Below are 22155 nucleotides of genomic sequence, written 5' to 3' on the forward strand. Positions count from 1 at the left end.
TTTATAGTTTTTTTTAAAGCTTGCTTTATGTTCAATAAGATCCCATCAGGATCACCATGATATAGTCTGGACATCATTTTTACTGTGGGTAAGCATATCCACCCTACATCCATAAAGTAGTAGGCAATAACAAAATATCTAACACTACTGGCTAATATTTGAGTACTTACTATGCGCCAAGCATGCTCTCATAATTTACTTGGATCATCTAATTTAATCCTCACAACAACCTGTATTTATCAGTATTACTCCCGTTTTACGGATAAAGAAACCGACTAGAGTGCTTATGTTGCCTAAGGTCACAAAGTCATAAATAGTTGAACTGAACTCACTCAGCATGGTCTAATCCCCAGGCTGGTAGCCTGAGTACTAGTCTGCCTCTCAACATGTTTTTTGCCATTACGTGAACATTATCCCACTTGTAAACATTCCCTACATGCCACAGTAAGCTAGGGGTCATATTTACAATAATCATTGCCTCAAACTAGGACAGTAGGCCCTCCATATTCACAGTTCCACATCTGGGCATTCAACCAACTGCAGATTGAAAATATTTGGAGAAAAGCCCCAACAATAAAAATAATACAAATTTTAAGAAATACAGTATGACAACTCTAGCATTTACACTATATTAGGTATAAGTAGTTGAGAAATGATTTAAAGTATACAGGAGGATGTACGTAGGTTATATGCAAATATGCCGTCTTATATGAGACATGAGCATCTGCAGATTTTGGTATCCTTGGGAGGTCCTGGAACCAATCCCCTACAGATACCAAGGGACAACTGTTTGTACTTAAAAGTTCTTATTTAACTTGGTATGGAAATTTGTAAGTGAACGCATTCTGAAAGGCCCCGGTCAGGCCATACCGCCCTCAATGCACAGATCTCCTTTGAAGGGCACCAAGCTATGTAAGCATGTGGGGGATGGGTTGGGGCTCCAGGGATGATAATCCTCATGAGGTTGTCTTGAGGAATAAATGAGTGAATGTTGTGTACATGTTGGCAGTTATACACTGCGGAAAACCCTCATTGTGTTGCTCAGACTTTCAAACAATTCCTTCATTAGGAATTTGGAGCCCTTCATGGGAGAACCACAGGTAGATTGAGTCTGCTTGAAGTTTTCCCATGACAGGCTCCTAATTCTATATCTTGGGTCCTTCACCACCAGTGCAATTCTCCTTCCCCATGATAGCTATTCAAAAATTTTCATGTAATTACTTATTCATAAATTTCATATAATTACAAAGATTTGCTTTTCCAGGCTAGTTTGTCCATCCCAAACTAGGTCAGTTGCCCCTGGTGAACTCTGTTCACCCAGTTCCTTCCTTCGTGGTGCTCATTACCATTGGTAATGACACATTTATTTCCTAAGAGTATTTGATGAATGATCTCCCATGCTAAATAATAGCTATATGAGGAGAGCAGGGCTGGATTTCATTCCTCCTCACTGTGTCCCTATAATATGACATTACACAAGAGACTTGCTAATGTGTTTGTGGAATCTGAGCAAAACCAGCTACTCATTAAGTCATTCTTATCCTTATTGACTGTACTTTTGCCGCCATTCTTTCTGTTTCATCCTCTCAATTGCCTCCACATTTTCTTTGGGAATGGATTCGATGAGGTCACACAGTTCTACCAGGCGAGATTCTACTTTTACCAGCTTTTGAATTGGGTTGAGGCCGTCATCCTCAGCATCTCCAATGCAGACTTTGTATACTTGAGTAATCTTTTTACTAAGTGAGTCTATCAGTATTTCCTGAGATTGAGAAGAGCAGAAAACATTAACATCACATTCCACATTCAATAAATATACCATTTTACTATATTACAGTAAAATCCCATGTATATGCTATTAAATGTTTACATTTTTATTTTTATTATTTTTTTTGAGACGGAGTCTCACTCTGTCACCCAGGCTGGAGTGCAGTGGTGCAATCTCATCTCACTGCAACCTCCGCCTCCCAGGTTCAAGCGATTCTTGTGCCTCAGCCACCCAAGTAGCTGGGACTACAGGCATGCGCCACCACGCGCAGCTAATTTTTGTATTTTTAGTGGAGCTGGGGCTTCACCGTGTTGGCCAGGCTGGTCTTGAATTCCGGACCTCAGGTGATCGAGCTGCCTCGGCCACAGGCATCAGCCACTGTGCCTGGCCTAATGTTTACTTTTTAAAATGAGAAGTTTTAATAAATCATTGAGAAAATGCAGCAGTGATATTTAACCTATATTATAATTTATAGTCAGAGCATTACTATAGAACACCTTGGATTATTTTCTTAAAATATACTGAACTCTAGATATGAAAAGTAATTATAATGGGTGGAATATTTTTTGCTTGAATGTTTTTGTATATCTGACTCCCTAAGAATTCAAATACAGGCAACAAACATTTTAAATCGTTTTTTTGCCACTCGGATGCATTTCCTTTTGGCACAATATGTAACCCAGCCCCCCTCCTTTTTTGCATGTATTACTCTGTTATAATTGCGAAACTATAATCATCCTATGTAATAGTTCTCTGCCTTATCCTTATAGTCCAGGAGAGCAGGAGCTACATCTTATGCTTAAACTTACAACTAAAACAGTGCTTTGCACATAACTACGCACTGAATAAATGTTTGCTGAATAAATGACTAAATGCATTCTCAGAAAAAAAAGTTGCAAGCAAACAGGTACCCAGGCTGGCCTACCAAAGCCTTTTTAGAAGTATCATTTTCACTGTTTTCGTTGGGAAGCCATTGCAGTATTCTAGTCTAAACAAAAGCTTAGGCCAAACCTTGCTGATCCCTGTACCTCGACACTGTGCCGTTTAACTGTTGGTGGAGATTCTTGAGGTGGTAGGTAACTTGTCTCAGGACCGTAAGAAAATTGTCATCCTCTGTCTCCATTGTGAACCCGGTGTTTGCAATTAAGAAGAGCTCAACAAACTGCTGGGCAATGTGAATCACTCTTCAGGTAGCATTCTGCCCCATTTCCTGCTTCCACTCAAGAAGATGAGAATCACCATAAAGCCAGCGACAAATAACACTCAAGAGAGAGGTGGCTCCTGGAGCCATGGGAAGCCCCTCCTGGAACCACAAACACCTTACAGAGCCACCAACACAATTACAAGCCAAGATCTGATACCAAGAGTACTTCCAACAGCTTTTCTCTTCCACCTCCTAGCTTAAAAAGCTTTCTGATGGTCCTGTTTAGCATAAAGCTCCTTTTTACCTTCATAAGGTAACACTTATTATATTTCCTATTTACATGAATGACATGATCCTTTTAGAAAACTTGGAGAAATACATAATAATATAAAAGAAAACAGCAAAAGTCCTATATTGGCCATAAATTTCCCTTTTCCCCTCTCTCTAAAATAACACTTACTGTGTTTCCTATTTATGTAACAACACATTCTTTTTCTAAACCTTGGAGACACAGAAAAATATAAAAGAAAATAAAAGTAACCCATCGGATTGAAATATTGTAAATTGCATATGAAAACAACACTGCTGCAATGTGAGTCACTAAATAAAGCACAGAAAAATACTTTAAAAATATATTCACCACAGGTTTTGAGGAAAAACAACTTTAAGATGAGAGTGGTTGCTAGTTGATGGAAATTTCTGAAGGAGACCTCTTGAACACTTAGATGGCTTTAGAGATGGATGAGCAGGGCAGTGGCTTTTTACGATGTCTTTTCTACACCACCACCCCCTCCCCCTTTTTTTCTTAAATTCCCTCTTCTGAGAGGAGAGAAAATGGCGAGAAGAGATATTTTCTTAATATAACAAGGTAAGAACAAGAGATAGAGAAGAATGAGATGAATGAAGGTAATTCACATATGAAAAAGGGATTGAGAGCCTGGCCTGACAAAGCAAAAAGTCAAAAGGGAGCACAAGGCACAGGCCAATTGATGACAGGGAAGGGAAGTTTCAGCCCCATCCCTGGAACTGCCCCCAGATGGCAGGCCCAGCCCACAGTACCTCGGAGGAGGAGCTGCCAAGGGAGTCTGCCCAGGTGAATGGGACAGGAATTATGGAAGACTGATCAGAGAACTTCAGGTGCCTTTCAACAGTGAACGGGAAGTGATATGACCAGAGCAGTGTTTTAGGAGGAATCATTGTATCAAAACGGGAGAGGGGAAAGGTTGCCGGGGTGGATATCTAGATGTCATTGAAAGTCTTTTCAAACTCAAGGGTTCTGTCATTCTAATCCATGTGACATTCTGCTGTGTGTTGACTGTACACAGTTCTCTCAATTGCAGCTGATCTTCTCCTTGTGCAAAGAAAACAATAAAACCAGAGATAAACACATTCCTCACATTGAACAGTGGAGCAGTTTATGTTCCATTTCATGTTCAATGAAGAAGTAACAACTGCTACACTAAACAACATGGATGAGTCTCACAAACACAGTATTGAGGGAAAGAAGCCAGACATGTTACATGATTCCATTCCAACAGAGTTCGAAAACAGGAAAGCTGATTGATGGCATGAGACGTCAGGACAGTGGGAAAGAGGGCTGGTAAAGCCTGGAAGCAGGTGTGAGGGAGGTTTGCAGGGGCTGATAATGGTGTATTCCCTGATCTGGGGGGTAGCACACGGGTGTGTTTGCTTTGAGAAAATTTCTTGAGAGGTACACTTGTGATTTGTGCACTTCTCAACATTACATTATACTTGAACTTAAAATGTTATTTTAAAAGTGAAATACTGGATCAAGGGCAAAATTTTTAGGGGATTAAGTATCATTAAGAGTGGAAGTTTTGAAAGACTAAAATTCATTTCATACTGATAGCTCCAGAGTAACATAATTTATGAATATCACAATCAAATATGTCAATTATACCTCAATAACGCTGGAAAAGAATCTTTTAAAAAATGAGCTGCAGCTAAATTTACTCAAAGGATTATGTTTTGTATATTCTGAGAGCTGAAAAAATGGAGGTAGAGAAGGAAAAAATCCTAAGAATACGTTTCCCTCCCAATTTTCCTGCTTCACCTCCCCTTCCCCACCCCACATTTCACATCTCTAGAAGACACTATGGATTATTAGTCCCATTTCCGCAGAGTGCAATACATGAATGCCAAATTTACACTTGTGATCAAAATTTCATGGATAGCCATTTAAAAAGGAATTTTACGTCAATTCTACTTTCTTTCTTTAGGTATCTGGTTGCCTCAATGTTAAAGAGTATCAAAAATGCCGCTTTTATTTTTTAATAGTTGCCCCAAACTTGGATGAAAGGGGCTTGGTTGGGATGGGGCAGGGAGGAGGGGAGATATCACAGATATTTATCAGACATTTTGCATGTCAATTGGTTTCAGAATTATTTTAAACAGTTGAAGTGTGGAAACCACTCAAGTGTCCATCAACAGATGAATGAATAAACAATATATGGTATAAACATACAATGGAATATTATCTAGCTGTAAAAATAATGCAGTCCTGATACAAGCTGCAACATGGATGAACTTTGAAAACATTATGCTAAATGAAATAAGCCAGACACAAAAGGACCAATATTGTATGATTCTTCTTTTGTGACGTACCTAGAATAGTCAAATTCAGAGAGACGAAGTAAAATGGTGGTTGCCAAGGGCTAGGAGAGGGAGGGATGGAAAGTTATTGTTTAATGGGTATAGAATTTCAGCTTTGCAAGATGAAGAGTTTTGGAGATTGCAAAACAACATGAATGTACTTAACACTACTGACCCGTACATTTAAAAATGGTTAAGATGTTACATTTTTATGTTGAAAAGATGATGAAAAAGTTGTGGAAATAGTGGTGATGGTTCCACAACATTGAGAATGTACTTAATGCCATTGAATGACACGCTTAAAATAGCTAACAGGTAAATTTGGTTATGTATATTGTACCACAGTTTTAAAAAAAATGGTTAGAAAAAAACAGCACTGAATTGAAAGGTGGCTATCATCACACCTCTTGGCCCCGGCAATGCACAACCCCATCCCCTACTAACTCAGGGCACTATAACTCCCTAGGAAATGTGTGTGTGTCTGGAGGAGCCATAACCAGCTTGTGCTTTTTGTAACCCTGTTCACCTGTGGGTAGGGGAGGACAGTCTTCTTCTGATGCAGTTCTCCCAGTTCTACTTCTGTTTGAAAATCAAGTTCATATCCATAAATGTGATGTTGTGGCAGGCCAGGTCTCACTAACGCAAGCCTCCTTAACAACTGTTTTCAGTACTGACTGAGTGGTTAAGTTAAATATTAAAAGCCAGTGCCCTTATACAAAGGCTGGAATGTAACAAAAGCCCACCAAGAGTTTTGCCTAGACCTTTCCAGGGTCTTAAAGAATGACAAAATAATGAAGGAATTCTCAACAGGACTCAGTTAAGATTAAACAAGTTTTATTGGGGATGAAGAAACTCTCCAGGCCTCCACAGACAAGTTTATTGGGGATCTGAAGGAACTACCCAAACCTCCCTGATTTAGCAGGAGACAAGATAAGGGTAATCACCCCAACATCTGGACCCATTTAGATTAAGTAAATTTACTGAGGCTCCAGAGGAAGGTCTTCAGGACTCAGACCTTCGTTATAGATCAAAAGAAGTTAATCACTCATGTCTTTAGATGAGTGCACACTTACACACAGACATATAGCTTAGAAGGTATATAAGCTCTGGAAAACTTTGTAGTTTTGAGTTGGTCTGGCAATAATTTCCAGGCCTTCTCCCTATAACCAGTTACAGAAATAAAAACTGTCTTCCTCCCCAGTTCATCTGCATCTCGTTATTGGGCCACGAGAAATAGCAGCCCAACCCTCAGTTTGGTCCCGAAACAATGTTAGCCTTATATATTAGCTTTGAATTTTTATTTCATTTGAGGTTTTTATAAGGTAATCAATGTTAGATGGAGCTGGTTGTGGGTCTAAAAGCTAACCTCATCATTCATTCAACAAACATTTATTGAGCACCAACTTTAAAGGGACCCTCAACTGAATGAAGAATAATAAGTCAATCCCTGCACTCAAGGGGGTTTGCATCTAGCTGAGAGATGAACTTGTCAATAAATAAGTGTACTAGCACATATCACAGCTGTTTTGATAATGAGTCTATGCAGGCCTGAAGAGGCAAAAATCTAGTACAGGCTCAGTGTTGGGAAAATTTTCTAGTCAGTGCTGAGTCACTGTTAATTGTGTTGATTCATGGCTTCCTCTGTTAATTACTCCTGGAATTACCACCAAAATGATAACACACAGTGAACTACTACATATGTCTAGGCTCTGAAGAAATGTATTTCGAGGGGAAACTATGGTCAATATCATGCATTGCAAAAGAGCAACGTTTTAAGAGAACCCCAATGCCAATTTGAATGCTTTCTGCCTATGTAAATTGGCTATTACATAATGGCAAGATAAATTCCAAGCTGGCTTTCCACTTCTGTCATCAATCTAGGACTTGTGATTTGCTTTAACTCTCCTATTCACATACTTAGGACACAGGGAATAAAAATTATAATCATGAGCCAAAATGAAATCACCATAGGCAAAGAGTGATTTACCTGAGCATCTGAATTAAATTCTCCAAAGCTAAAGAGCTTGGACTTTAATTGCAATTCTGCTGCTTTCTCTTCTTCTCTCACACAGTTAGCTTTAAGCATTTTTTCTTGCTCCAAAAGAAACTCTATGTTGCTATTTCTATTACAAAAGAAGAAAGAGACCCTCATCTGAAATTTGTGGTTAGTGAAATAACCATCAGTCAGGAGCTTTAACACTCTAGATCATGTGTCAAAATCCATGTAGTGAGCCAAATACAAGTCTGTATTTGAAGACATTGCCAAAGTACATGCAACTTTTCAAGTTAAAATGAGAAAAATACATGCACAAATGCTGTTTTTAACTTCCATCAGAAGGCATTTTCTTCCCCTCCCCTACTTTTGTGGTTCCATTCGAATTCCCCCAAATAGCAGCAGAGCTGAGGCATCAGGAACCCAGTGTTCTCAAACGTGGCTGATAATCAGAATATGTGGGGAGCCGAGAGGGAAAATATAGACTCCTAATTCCCTCACCTAAAGATTCTGATAAGATCCTCTAGAGATAGATTCTATATATCCCCCTTTCCTGCCTACCTGCACCCACCCTGTCCCAGAAAATCTTATTGTGGAGGTGGGTGGAGGGCCATTAGACACTGTGAAGATTGGAAAAGATACAAGGATTAAAAAGTCTCAGAAATGGTAATGGGTAGCTGTGAGATAATGATTTTTATTTAGATTCTTCTGAACAAATTAATTTGTTTTGAAGTTAAATGTAGTTTGACCTATTGTTTAAAAAGATTGCCATCTTCTGGCCCAGAAAACTGTTCTGAGAAAAGGTTCTACACATTTTTGCAATGAGTAGATACAAAGATTTATTCTCTGTAATTCAATTCTTTTTCAAGTTTGTAATACTATATATTTTTAGATGAGGAAGGAATTTTGTGAGGGATCAAATCCAGCTGCTTTCCCCTGACAGAAATCCTTTCTATATTCGCCCTGAGATATTGACAGGAACTTTATAAAATGATATAATATTTAATCACAAAAATTATTTTTCTGAGAGTCACAGCCAATGAAAATACATTTGTTAGCATTATCATCCACAGCATGATTTGGTAAAGTAAATGACAGCTAGCCAAGTGATAGGGCGAAAACTATACCGGACAAAAGTTAAGGCAGTAGGTACCATTTTAATTCTTTTTAGTCATTTTTCAAAGTATCTTTTATTATTACTAGTAGGAAAATACGTTGACAAGTGAAAGGAAGTAGGGACAAAATTAAAGCCAGTCTATTCTGTGTAAATACGACGTCTACGTTTTGCACTCCACAATGTAAACTATTAAAAACCCCAGCCTACATTCACAGAGACCACGAGGAAGAGCCACATGTGAGTGAGTTGGACCCAGGCTCTGGTTAGAAATTGCTTAATGGAATAAATCTACTTGTTTATAATGACTTACGTTTTATCCTGTATAACTTTTTCTCTTTTGTTTACCTCTTCAAGATTTTCATCTACATCTTGGGAATATTGAAACAAAGTAAGATTCTGCTCTTCCAGCTCTCTGAGGACTTGAAGTAACTCCTCTGGTTCCTTGAAATAAAGTGCTGGCTCCTAATTAATCAATAATGAAGAATATAATTTACTTAAAAATATGCTACCTATGCACATGTGACTTATCTAGAAAATACAGTGGGGTAAAGGAAGACAGTTCTAAGGATGAGGGAGACACAGGTAGGAACTTGTATGGGAAACTCGCCTATTTCCAAGTGAGAGCTGGCTTTCAGAAAGAGCACATTTGCAGTGTTGTGGGGAGATGAGGGTATTAAAAAAGGGATGGGGAAGAAAAAAGGAAGAAGAGGGTGAGGAAAAGGAGACAGAGCAGAAGAGGAGGCAAGTGCGGGAAAAAGGGAAAGGGAGAAGGAATAGAAGAAAGATGACAGGAGGCTGAGTGAAAGTCATTTTCTCCCCACATTTTAATTATTTTATATTTCCTACATTTTTAAGATAAAGTATGTGTTACCTTAAACATTTTTTTAAAAAATTACTTGGGCATTTGCACACCCATGTTCCTCATTATTCACGATAGCCAAGACATGGAAGCAAGAATGTCCATCAATGGATAAATGGATTAAGTCAATGTAGTATACACATACTATGGAATATTATTCAGCTTCAAAAGGAAAGAAATTGACCGGGTGCGGTGGCTCACACCTGTAATCCCAGCACTTTGGGAGGCCGAGGTGGGTGGATCATGAGGTCAGGAGTTCAAGACCAGCCTGAGCAAGAGGGTGAAACCCCGACTCTACTAGAAATACAAAAATTAGCCAGTCATGGTGGTCGGTGCCTGTAATCCCAGCTACTTGGGAGGCTGAGGCAGAGAATTGCTTGAACTCAGGAGGCGGAGGTTTCAGTGAGCTGAGATCGTGCCACTGCACTTCAGCCTGGGCAACAAGAGTGAAACTCCATTTCAAAAAAAAAAAAAGGAAACAAATCCTGTCATATGCTATAACATAGATGAACCTTGGATACAGTATGCTAAGTGAAATAAGCCAGGCACAAAAAGACAAATACTGAGTGATTCCACTTACATGAGGTATCTAAAATAGTAAAACTTTTAGAAACAGAATGTAGAATGGCAGTTGCCAGGGGCTATGGGAGGGAGAAAAGAGGAGTTGTTTAATGAGTATAGAGTTTCTATTTTGCAAAATCAGAAAGTTCTAGAGATCTATTGCTTACAGTTGACACTACTGTAATGCACACTTAAAATGGCTAAAATGGTAAATTTTTTACATGTTTATTTGTCACAATTTTTTAAAAAGATGACTTGGATAAGGTGTGTAATATACAACAATGAATGGTATTTGTTATCCCTTTTGAGTTTCTGTGGTTGCATTTCGGGTGGGGTTAGCTCAAAGTCAATCTTGCAGCAATAAAGGGTTGTTTTGTTGAAGGCCTATTTATTTTATGGTTCAGCTACCCAACACATCTCAAGTCCCAATAAAATGCAATCAGCAAGTGGCTATTTTTACAAGAAGATTGTAGATTTTATATATATTTTTATATATATATAAAATATATATATCCTAAATCATTACCTTCTTCTAGATACTTATTTGTTATAAAATGTCTTATGACAAAGATAGATTATATATCCAATTGGAGAATAGTATCAAAATTATATTTCTTTCTGGAAGGTTTGTGCAATATTTTGAATAAAATATTTTAATTTCAAAAGAATAAATGATCATCAGTATTTTTCACCAAACCCAATATTTAAACTAGCAAATATAATCTGGTTACCAAATCAACGTCCATTTCATCATCTAAAAGGAATTCCAAACTGTCTTCTGAACCGAAACTTTCAGCCAGGCTGTAAAAGAAAAAAGAAAAAGAAAATGTCTGATTTGTGAGCCATTTTCTGTCAACAGGTTTGCATTCCTCTCTAAATTGTCGTTGGAACCCAACTGTAACATAATTATTTTCAATAGCAGGTTTAGCCTTTTAGGGAACTGCTGATTGCAGAAATCAATGGATTCCATGAATATACAAAAGAAAATTGGATTCTGTCCCAGACACAGCTGACATACACAAACAATGAGACCACATGGGAGGGCCATACCATATGGTACCAATTATTTGAGGTGCATCTATAAAGTAAGGTAACTTTATTTTTAAAGAAACACATGACAGCCTATGTTGCCTCATCCTTTTGTCCTTTTAATGCATTCTTCTTGAGAATCTGAATGTGCTCTACTTCTCAAAATGAAAGCTGTATCACAGCCTTCTGACTGTCCCCAAGTAAGGCAATGCTTCTCTCTTTAAGAGCAGATTTTACTTCTCAAAATATCTTCCAATCAGGCTGACAAAATGTTGGTTGGGGTGATGGACAGTGAGATACCTCCTTAAAGCATAATCATGTGGCTTGGAAAGTGGCTCTGGAAAAATCCTGTAAGAAAGATCAGTGGAAACTGATTGCAATATTAAAGAAGCAGGGATAGGGAGAGAGTAAGTTGGCTGTTGTTGTGATCTAGGTCATTAACACTTTCAGATAGAGGGCAGTGATGATGGCAACGATGAGTAAGTGTGTGGGGAGGGAGGAGAATTTAGAGATATATGGAAGAATGAAATCATGGGAACCAAAAATAGAAAGGGCTCTTGGGGCCATGAGAGAAGAGACAAAGATGACTCCAACATTTGTGGTCTGGAGCCTGGAAAAATGGAGGTAGCACTCACAGGAAGGAAAACAGCTTACAGATGGGATAAGGAAAAGATTAATATTTGCTTTATTCATGTTGAGTTTGAGGGGACAAAATACACACCTGGAGCTGCCTATTGAGCAGCTGGAGAGAAAGTGTGGGAAAACAGAAAGGACCAGGGACATAGATGAATTTTAGGGAAACATACCCTGAGAAAGCATTTGACATTACAGTCCACCCTTCTCTGCTCTTGGGTTGAGCAACATCACTTTCTAATCACTCTCTTCCCACCTCTCTGATACTCTTGTGGTCTTTTGGGGCTCCTCCTCAGTCTTCTTCCCTTCTCCTTCTACCCATTCTTTTGGGGAGACCTCATCCATCTCATGGATTCAACCACTGCTAATACACTAATGACTCTCACATCTCTATCTCTTTCTTGAGCTTTAGATTTCAATGTCCAACCTTCAACTGGACATCATTACCCACATGGCTGTCCCACAGGGAGCTAAAATGAACATCCAAAATCACACTCCTTCTCTTCTCCTCAGGCAGGCCTGCTCCTCTTACTGGGTTCCCAATATTATTGGATGGCAAGACCATGCACCCAGTTGCCATGCTAGAAATCTGGGCGTTATCTGTAACCACTCTCTTTTCCCGACACTTCCCTCAATCTTTACATAAGCCGTTCAAAGTCCTGTCAGTGCCACTTCCCTATGTCTCTCACAGCCTTTCTTTCTTTGTTTCCGATGCCATTATCTGGTTTAGGCAGTCCAATCTCTCTCACCTGAATTGTGACAATAGACTCCTAACTGGCCACTGTACCTCTAGTTTTGTCCTCCACCATTTCATTCTCTAAAATACTGCCACATCCATCTTTCTAAAGTGCAAATAGGATTGGGTCTCTGTCACACTCTTGTTTAAAACATACAGTGTCTCCCCAGGGCCCTTGGGACAAAGCACAGGCTGCTTAGGTAGATAGCATCACCACTTCCCTGCTCATGGTGCAGTGCCCATGTACTCCTTGAGCCTCTCCCCCTTTTACCCAGAATGATAAACCTGCCATTCTGAACAGAGCCAAGCTCTGTCATCTCTGTACCAGAAAGCACTCCCTCTTCCAGAGCTTGTCCTCACTAACTCTTCCTCCTCTTATAGACTCAGCTTAGAGGCATCCTGTTCTGAAGCACATTCACTGATCCTGCCCTTGCCCTCCCATGCCCTCACCTCTCCTCTGGGTTGAGTCCTACCTTTGCATGCCTGTGGCACTCTGGGCTTATCCTTCTAATAACATTATCACATTGTATTGCAATCAACTTGGCTGTCTTCCTCCCTAAATGGTAAGGCCCTTGAGGGCAGAGATTATCTTTTGTTTATTGTTGGGGCACTCAATAAGTATTTGTTGAATGAATGGATGAGACTAGGAGAGTGGTGAGCTTTCTGAGGGAGCGAATGTGGTGTCTGCATGTTACTGTGAGCATCTAGATGCAGAAAAGGCATTTGGCAGGATTCAACACTCATTTTGATAAAAACTCTCAGGAAAACTGGAACAGAGAAGAACTTTCTTAACTTGATAGAGTATGCACATCTACAAAAATCCTCCAGCTAACGTTATATTTAATGGTGAAAAACTGAATCCTTTCAAGACTGGGAACAAGACAAAGATATCTGCTCCCTCTACTCTTATTCAACATCAAAAGTTCTACCCATTGCAATAAAGCAAGAAAAAGAGATAAAAGGCATAAAGATCAGAAAGGAAGAAATAAAGCTGTCGCTATGTGCAAATGACATAATGGTCTACTTAGAAAGTCCACAGGAATCTTTAAAAACAAAACAAAATTCTTGAACTAATAAGTGAGTTCAGTACGGTCAGGGTATACAATCAATTGTATTTCTCTATATTAGCAATGACTGCATGGACACCAAAATACAAAGTACAATACCATTTACAATTGTTCAAAAAGAAAAGACAAAAATATTTTGCTATAAATCTAACAAAACATGTATAGGATTTGTAAGCTGAAAACTACAGAAGGCTGAAGAAATCAAAGAAGATCTAAACAAATGGAGAGTCAGACTGTGTTTATGGATTGGAAAATGTAACATAGTAAAGAAATCAATTATCCCCAAATTGATATACAGGTTTGTGTTAGTTTCCTAGGGTTGATGTAACAAACAACAGCTTAAAGCAACAGTAACTTATTCTCTCACAGTTCTGGAGGCTAGAAGTCAGAAATCAAGGTGTCAACAGGCCATGTTCTCTCTGAGAGCTCCAGGGAAGAATCTATTAATACCTTTCTCTTAGCTGCTCCTATTGCCAGCAGTCCTTGGCTTGCAGCCACATCACTTCAATCTCTGTCTCTGTCATCACATGGCATTCTCCCTGTGTCTCAGTGTCTCTTCTTTTGTAAGGACACCAGTCATACTGAATTAAGGGTCTACCCTAATGACTTCATCTTACTTTGATTAAGTCTGCAAAGGTGTAATAAAAATATATATATTTTTTCCAGATAAGGTCATGTACATAGTACCATGGGTTAGGACTTCTACATATCTTTGTGGGGGACATAATTCAACCCATAAAAAGGCTTAACACAATTCCCATCATAATTCCAGAAAGTTTTTTTGTAGATATAGATAAGGTTATTTTAAAATTTATATAAAAAGAAAAAGGAGCTAGAATAGCCAACACAGTTTTGAAAAACAGGAATTACATAAGAAGTCTCCCTGACCTCGAGACTAATAGCTACAGGCCATTTCCTGTTCCCTGTGTTGTGTGTTGGAATCTGGAGCAATGAAGACCTCTGTGCCCTTAGGCGGGTCCTTCCTGTTTTCTCTATTGTTTTGGAATTCTTCTGGACTCGACCCAGTCCTAAGACACAGATCTTCAGTGGATAAAGAAGACACTGTTTGGACTGCAGCAATGACTGAGTTGACTGCTGATGGCTTAGGTCACTGTCTGACTTGCAATAGTTTCAATGTGTTCTGATGATTGGTTGTTAGAATGAAAATAAGGCCCTTTGATAACAACTCAGAAATTAAAACTGGTGACATACACCTGGGAGATAACTGTCCTGTAACAAGACTGTTGCCATTTAACTATGAGTTTTCTTATCCTGTCACTTCTTGTGGGATCAAGAAAATTATGTTCCAAAGAAATGATGTTGCTATATTATCAGAGATCAGTTACAGACCAGTGCTGCATACTACCTATAAATTTCCAGTGGTTTGCTTTGTAAAGAGGCTTAAGTTCCCATCTGTGATGCATTTTGGAATGAGTGGATTTGATGTCAACACCTTGAAAGATATCACTCAAAACATAGAAGAACAAGAGTCATCAGCTCCCACACAAAGTAAAACATGTGAACCTAATTTTAGCAGTGTTAATTAGGAGCAACTATCCACGAGTCACTGCATCAATAATGCCTATGTTATAACATCCTATCCTCCCTAAGGCACGGGAGCAAGTAGTACATACTTGTCTGAGAACCAGTTCCATTAATACTATGGTTGTATCTGTCCAAAGATAAGTAGCAGTATGTTACCAGTTTCACTACCTTTGGAGTTTTGGATAACATATCTATACTGTGATATTTACACCTTTTAATGAGTTAATTTTAAGTGTAATTGCTATTCTAACTTTGTGAAATCAAGGCCATACATAATAAAGCTTGCCTATACTAAAAACAAACAAACAAACAAAAAACTAATAGCTACAGTAGTCAAGATCATGTGGCAGGACAGCCACAAAGATCAATGGAACAGAATAGAGAATCCAGAAATAGCCCCCAACAAATATGCCTAAGTGATTTTTGACAAAGGTGCAAAAGCAATTCAATGAAAGAAGCCATTTCAACAAATGGTGCAGGAGCAATTGACATACACAGGCAAAAAAGCACCATCACCACAATCTAAACCTCACCCCTTATACAAAAATTAACTCAAAATGGAAAATGGATCACAAACTTACATGTAAAACTATAAAACACCTAAGAAAAAATATGGAAAAAAATCTTTGAGTCTAAGGCTAGGGAAAACGTTTTAGAATTGACACCAAAAGCATGAACTATAAAAGAAAAAATTCATAACCCGAAATTCATCAAAATTAAAACTTTCACTCTGCAAAAGACCCTATTAAGAGGATAAAAAAGACAATCTATACACTCAGAGAAATTCTTTGCAAACCACATATCCCCAAAGGACTAGTATCTAATATATACAGAATTTTCAAAATGCAACAGTTTTAATAAAAGGCAATTCAGTTAGAAAGTGAGCAAAAGACATGAATAGATATTTCATCAGAGGATATAAAGATGCAAACAAGCACACGACAAGATGCGCAACATCATTAGCTACTAGGAAAATCAATTAATACCTACCAGAATAGTTAAAATAAAAGACAGTGAAAACACCAAATGCTGTTGAGGATATGAAGAAACTGGACCCCACATACAATGCTAGTGGGAATGTAAAGTGACATAGCCACTCTGAGAAACAACTTATCAATCTCTTTAAAAACTGAACATGCGGCCGGGCGTGGTGGCTCACGCCTGTAATCCCAGCACTTTGAAGGCCAAGTCATGTGGATCACCTGAAGTCAGAAGTTCGAGACCAGCCTGACCAACATGGTGAAACCCCATCTCTACTAAAAATAACAAAAATTAGCTGGGCGTAGTGGCAGGCACCTGTAATCCCAGTTATTCAGGAAGCTGAGACAAGAGAATTGCTTGAACCTGGGAGGTGGAGGTTGCAGTGAGCAGAGACTGTGCCATTGCACTCCAGCCTGGGTGACAGAGCGAGACTCCATTTCAAAAAGGAAACAAACAAACAACAAAAAAAAACCACTGAACACACATCTACCATCCAATCAGGCATTACATTATAATTATTCCAGAGAAGTGAAAATTATGTTCACACAAAAGGTTGAACAAAGATATTTGTAGCAACTTTATTCACTATATCCCCAAACTAAAAATAATCCAGATGGCCTTCAATGAGCAAATAGTTAAACTGTAGCACGTCCATACCATAGTATACTACTCATCAATAAAAAGGATCCAACTACTGATAGACCAAACAACTTAAGTGAATCTCCAGAGAATTATGCTTAGTAAAATAACCCAATCCCAAAAGATTACATACTGTAGGATTCCACTTATAGAACATTCTTGGAATAACACAATCATAGAAATGCAGAACGCATTGGCGGTTGCCAGGGTTTAAGGGGAGGTGGGAGAGGGAAGTGGGTGTGGCTCTGAAAGGGCAACATGAAGAACCCTGCGCTGACGTTCTGTATTTGATGGCATCCATGTCAATATCCTGGTTATGGTATTTGTGCTACAGTTTTGCAAGATGATGCCATTGGAGGAAACTGAGTAAAAGGTATATGGAGTCTCTCTGTACTATTTCTTACAATTGTACGTGAATCTAAAACGATCTCAAAATGAACATTTAATTACAAAAAAATCTGTGCCAAATGCCACAGAAGTGGGTGTCTAGAATTCAGAGGGTGCCTAGAATTCACAGCAAAATGTTTCCGTTTCTCTCAGTGATTGTCATGATACTGTGATGCTGGCCCAGATCCCTTCCTCTGGGCTGGTGTACCCATCCCAGGCATCAACATATTTTCTTAAAGAAGCTCTCTTGGGGTAGTAAGGGTTGAGAACGAGTGACTTCTGAAATAATGAGTACAAATGAGTGAACAATTAAGTGAGGGGGAAAACAACAACAAAAAAATACTTTATGATCCTAATTGCAGGAATTTTGAATCACATGGTGAAATTGCAAACACACAGGCTAGCAGAATAGCTTAATAAAAAATAGGGCAGTGGGTTCTGAGAAGCAAAGACCCAAGATGCAGGGGGCGGGGCAGATAGCTTCTGCAAATAATAGCTGTAGGTACTTAACAAAGATTGGAGAGAGGCCTGTGAGATCTCAGGAGTGCACAGAAATGGCACCACTACTTCCAGGATCTCTTACAACAGTTATGGGTACATGACATATATGTTGAGAAAAGGCTTTAAAAGTTATTTGCTGAAAACCATTCCCAGTTTCCAAGGGAGTTAGTCAAGTATATACTGTACTTTGATTTCTTTTTCTCTGGAGTGCGAGTCAGGCTTCTGCTTGGCTTTCCTGTTCAAAATGTCCAGGTGAGGCCATGCCGTTGGTGATGGTGGAGTGAAAAGAAATAACATGGAATTAGAAATGAGCCCGTGCACTTGGTGCAAGGTATTCATTTTTCTGCACAGACATGCCCATTACTTCTTTCTTTTTTTAAAAAATTATTTTATTATTGGAATGATAATTGCATAGAAAATGGAGGTCTTTTATTCTATTGAAACTGAGTTGCATGCGTAAGAATAAAATGAAAGGCACAGACTCTTCTAAATGCCTCAGGCAGAGATCACACTTTTGGCTTTTCCCTCCAGAGCCCTCACTGTCTATAACTATATATCATTCGCCCCATTGTAGTGTGTAGTTCTGGGATGCAGAACTATGTACTGTTTGTCTTTGTGTACGTGGGGTCTTGAAGAGCACCTGAAACATTTATGTCTCCAATAAATACACGGTGAGTAAAGGAAAGAAGGGGAAAAAAAATGGATGAAGAAGAACCAATCAGATGGGTCCCATCACCATCTTATTATTATTATTGTCTCAGCTTTTTTTTTTTTTTTTTTTTTTGAGATGGAGTTTCACTCTCGTCGCCCAGGCTGGAGTGCAATGGCATGATCTCGGCTCATTGCAACCTCTGTCTCCCAGGTTCAAGCGATTCTCCTGCCTCAGCCTCCCGAGTAGCTGGGATTACAGGTATTTTTACTAGAGACGGGGTTTCACCATGGTGGCCAGGCTGATGTCGAACTCCTGACCTCAGGAGATCCACCCACCTCAGCCTCCCAAAGTGCTAGGATTACAGGCGTGAGCCCCCGCACCCGGTCTGTCTCAGCTTTTAAGCTGGTACCCTAACATGTACTACTAAAAAGTATTGTTAAGAGGTGTTATTTAAACTGAGAAACTTCTATATTCAAAATTTCAAAGAGAAGGGAACATTGACACCACCTCCCACTCCCTCTACCCCACCCCTGCCCCCACACCCTACTCAAGATCTTCCAACAGGCAAAGTAGTATGTCTTAAAGTGAGCCAAAGTGGCCTCACAACACAAAAGAATTTACTTTTCAATCAGCTGGCCAGATGCACAAGGCTTCAGGCTTATACCAGGGTCATTTCTGGGCAGGCAACTTGTATTCCTGACCTTTATCCCAATACTAAATACATCCCAAGTTTGATAGCAGGATACAGGAGAAAAGGAGTCCCCAGGAGTCAGCCTGAATTGGGGGCTGCAAACTCAGATGGATACAGGGAAGGGCAGGTAAAGGAGTGGAGTGGACCCAGTAAGAACAAAGCAACTGGAGAGATCAGACCCCTCCCACAAGAAAGTTCCCAACTTGATCCCAGACTTCAGATCTTGTGGTTTTCAAGAGAAGATAGAAATACAGATTTTTTTCATGACATATGCTTATTTTACTTTATTTATTTATTTATTTATTTATTTGACATAGGGTCTCACTCCGTTACCCGGGCTGGAGTGCAGTGGTGCAGCACCATCACTGCTCACCATGGCCTCGATTTGCTGGGCTCAAGCGATCCTCCTACCTCAACCTCCTCAGCAGCTGGGACTATAGGCGTATACCACCATGCCCAGCTAATTTTTGTATTTTTGGCAGATATGGGTTTTTTCCATGCTGCCCAGGCTTGTCTTGAATTCCTGGGCTCAAGTGATCCACCTGCCTCAGCCTCCCAAAGTGCTGGGATTAAAGGTGTGAGCCACCATGCCTGGCCTACATGTGCTGATTTTTAAACATTGGCCACCAAGCCAAACAACACCAAAACACTGGGGCCAGATAGCGCAGCCCAGTGGGCCAAATCTCCGGTCTGAACTTGTGATGCAGAGTGGGAGGAGGAGGGTCATTCCACCTGGGAGAGATGGTGATAGTGAAGGACTTCTTGGAGTTGATGGTGGGTAGGTTAGAGCTACCTCTGCTCTAAATTAATCCTTTTCCCAAGGGTAAATTCTCTGAATCACTGGCCAAAGTCAGTCACCTCGTTGCAAATGGCCTGGTTTTCTGGACCCTGGGAGTGGGCCTGCCAACGGCAGAAGGCAGGTCCGCGCCAGAGAAACGAGGGGCCTCAGCTTGGAAGGACTTCAGGACATGTGCTGGCCAGCCAGGGTATGTCTCAGGGGCCCTCTTCCTCTGATTCTCTGCCTATTCTATCCACTCGTGCACCTCTTGGCATTTTGTGATAACGTGAGAGAGAGAACCAGAGCCCCTGGCTGCTAGGATTGAGGGTGGGGTGGACACAGCCCTCCATTTTCCAGGTTGGCTTGTAGTCCTCTGTCTCCACTTTGAGATGGACACATTCGCAGGTTTTACTTTCATGAGTCCCAAATCTACCTTTACCTTGGCTGTCTCTTCCCTGAGAAGCATCTTCTGAAAGGACAGCTGTCCTCCCGGACTCCTCAAGGATGCCTTCCTTGTTACTTGAATGTAATGATAATTCTAGAAATGGCAAATGAAGAGGAGAGAGACAGAGAAAGATGGGGGGAAAAAAACACTGCTGAGAAAGAGAGCTTTGTCTCAGGGTGAAGATAGAGTTATTGTCAAAACTTCCAGGGACAGAAATATAAGTTGGAGACATTATCAACCAGCAAACGTGATATGCAGATAGTAATATGCAAACATAATATGCAGATGGTAATATGCAAACACAATATGCAGATAGTAAGGGCTGGTCCCTGGGTTAAGAGAATGTGTGAGAACTGACTGGTAGGGCACTAGGACATCTCCATTTTCAACATCCATCTGTCGTAACTCCTTAAATCCCAAATGTTAGCTTTCAAGCCTCTGGACTGACAGACTTAACTAGTTTCTGAACATTCTCTATTTGGATCATGAACCGAGATGAAATTTTTTATTTTATTTTATTTTTTTGGGGACAGGGTCTTGTTCTGTTACCCAGGCTGGAGTTCAGTGGCACCATCACAGCTCACTGCAGCCTTGACCTCCTGGGCTCAATCCATCCTCCCACCTCAGCCTCCAGAGTAGCTGGGACTACAGGTGTCCACCAGTATGCCTGGCTAATTTTTGTATTTTTTTTGTAGAGATGGGGTTTCACCATGTTGCCCAGGCTGGTCTCCAACTCCTCGGCTCAAGCACCCCGCCTGCCTTGGCCTCCCAAATTGTTGGGATTACAAGATGGAGCCACCGCACCTGGCCCCAGAAGGACTGAATTTTAAATTGTTGAATGCAAATACTTCTTGTTTTTTTTTTCCCACTTGTTTTCCCTCTTGTGCAACACCATTTAGCTTTAACCAAATTTTTTCATGTGCTCAACACTTTACACATATGACCTAATTTAATCACACTTGGCACAGTGAGAGACCTAGGGAACTCAGCAGGGAAACCATTAGTGGTGTGTTGGTAAAGGTTTAACAACCAACTCTCTAGAAAGCAAATTCCCCCTGATTTGTAGTTCGCCAATTTCTGTGTTGTAAATGCTCCTATCCTGGAGTAGTGGCATCAGTTCTCAGCTGGGCTGCCCCTGGCTCCCATCCCTGCACTGCATCCTGGAAACTCTCTCTCCAGGTAGTAAGCTGAGGCAATCCTAGGGCTCACCTCCCTGGTTTCCCCTCTCCAAGGGATCACTCTGCTTTTTTTTTTTTTTTTTTTTTGAGACGGAGTCTCACTCTGCTTTACTGTTTGATGTCCAATGTCTGAAAATTCCTGTTTCATGTATTTATCCAGTTTTTCAGGCAAGAGGCTAAGTCTGGTCCTGGTTACCCCAATGTTAGTTGAAAGTGCAAATCATCCCCTTTGATTTGTGACCCCGCTTTCACTTATTACAATCTTTTTTTTTTTTTTTTTTTTTTTGGAGACAGGGTCTCGTTCTGTTGCCCAGGCTGGAGCGCAGTGGCATGATCATGGCTCACTGCAACTTCCTCCTCCTGGGCTCAAGCAATCCTCCCACCTCAGCCTCCCTAGTGGTAGAACTACAGTTGCATGCCACCATGCTCAGCTAATTTTTAAATTTTTTGTAGAGACTATGTCTCACTATGTTGCCCAAGCTGGTCTCCTGGCTCAAGCAATCCTCCCTCCTTAGCCTCCCAAAGTGCTGGGATTACAGATGTGAGCCACTGTACCTGGCTTAAATTCTTTTTTTTTTTTTTTTTTGAGACAGGGTCTGCCTGGAGTGCAGTGGTGTGATCTCAGCTCACTGCAACCTCCGCCTCCCAGGTTCAAGCGATTCTCCTGCCTCAGCCTTCTGAGTAGTTGGGATTACAGGCATGCGCCACCATGCCTGGCTAATTTTTGTATTTTTTAGTAGAGACGGGGTTTCACCATGTTGGTCAGGCTGGTCTCGAACTCCTGACCTTGTGATCCACCCACCTTGGCCTCCCAAAATGCTGGGATTACAGGCATGAG

At 40.2% G+C, this 22155-nt stretch overlaps 1 protein-coding gene across 5 annotated transcripts in view; it reads right to left on the reverse strand.

The window, feature by feature from the left end:
- Window positions 1-22155, reverse strand: part of CCDC38 (coiled-coil domain containing 38) — a 76186-nt gene that overhangs the window by 3651 nt on the left and 50380 nt on the right. For 4 of the 5 annotated variants that reach the window (XM_011537883.3, NM_182496.3, XM_047428281.1 and 1 more), the window contains 6 exons: window positions 20134-20232; window positions 17760-17808; window positions 10787-10856; window positions 8946-9097; window positions 7513-7648; window positions 1557-1762 (listed from right to left, as the gene is read on the reverse strand). In XM_011537883.3, the coding sequence (XP_011536185.1) occupies window positions 1557-1762; window positions 7513-7648; window positions 8946-9097; window positions 10787-10856; window positions 17760-17808; window positions 20134-20232 (712 nt within the window). Of the gene's footprint in view, window positions 1-1556; window positions 1763-7512; window positions 7649-8945; window positions 9098-10786; window positions 10857-17759; window positions 17809-20133; window positions 20233-22155 lie in introns of those variants that run through there. The other variant, XM_011537889.2, reaches the window with a different exon arrangement.

Source organism: Homo sapiens, chromosome 12, assembly GCF_000001405.40.
Source record: "Homo sapiens chromosome 12, GRCh38.p14 Primary Assembly".
NCBI lineage: Eukaryota > Metazoa > Chordata > Mammalia > Primates > Hominidae > Homo > Homo sapiens.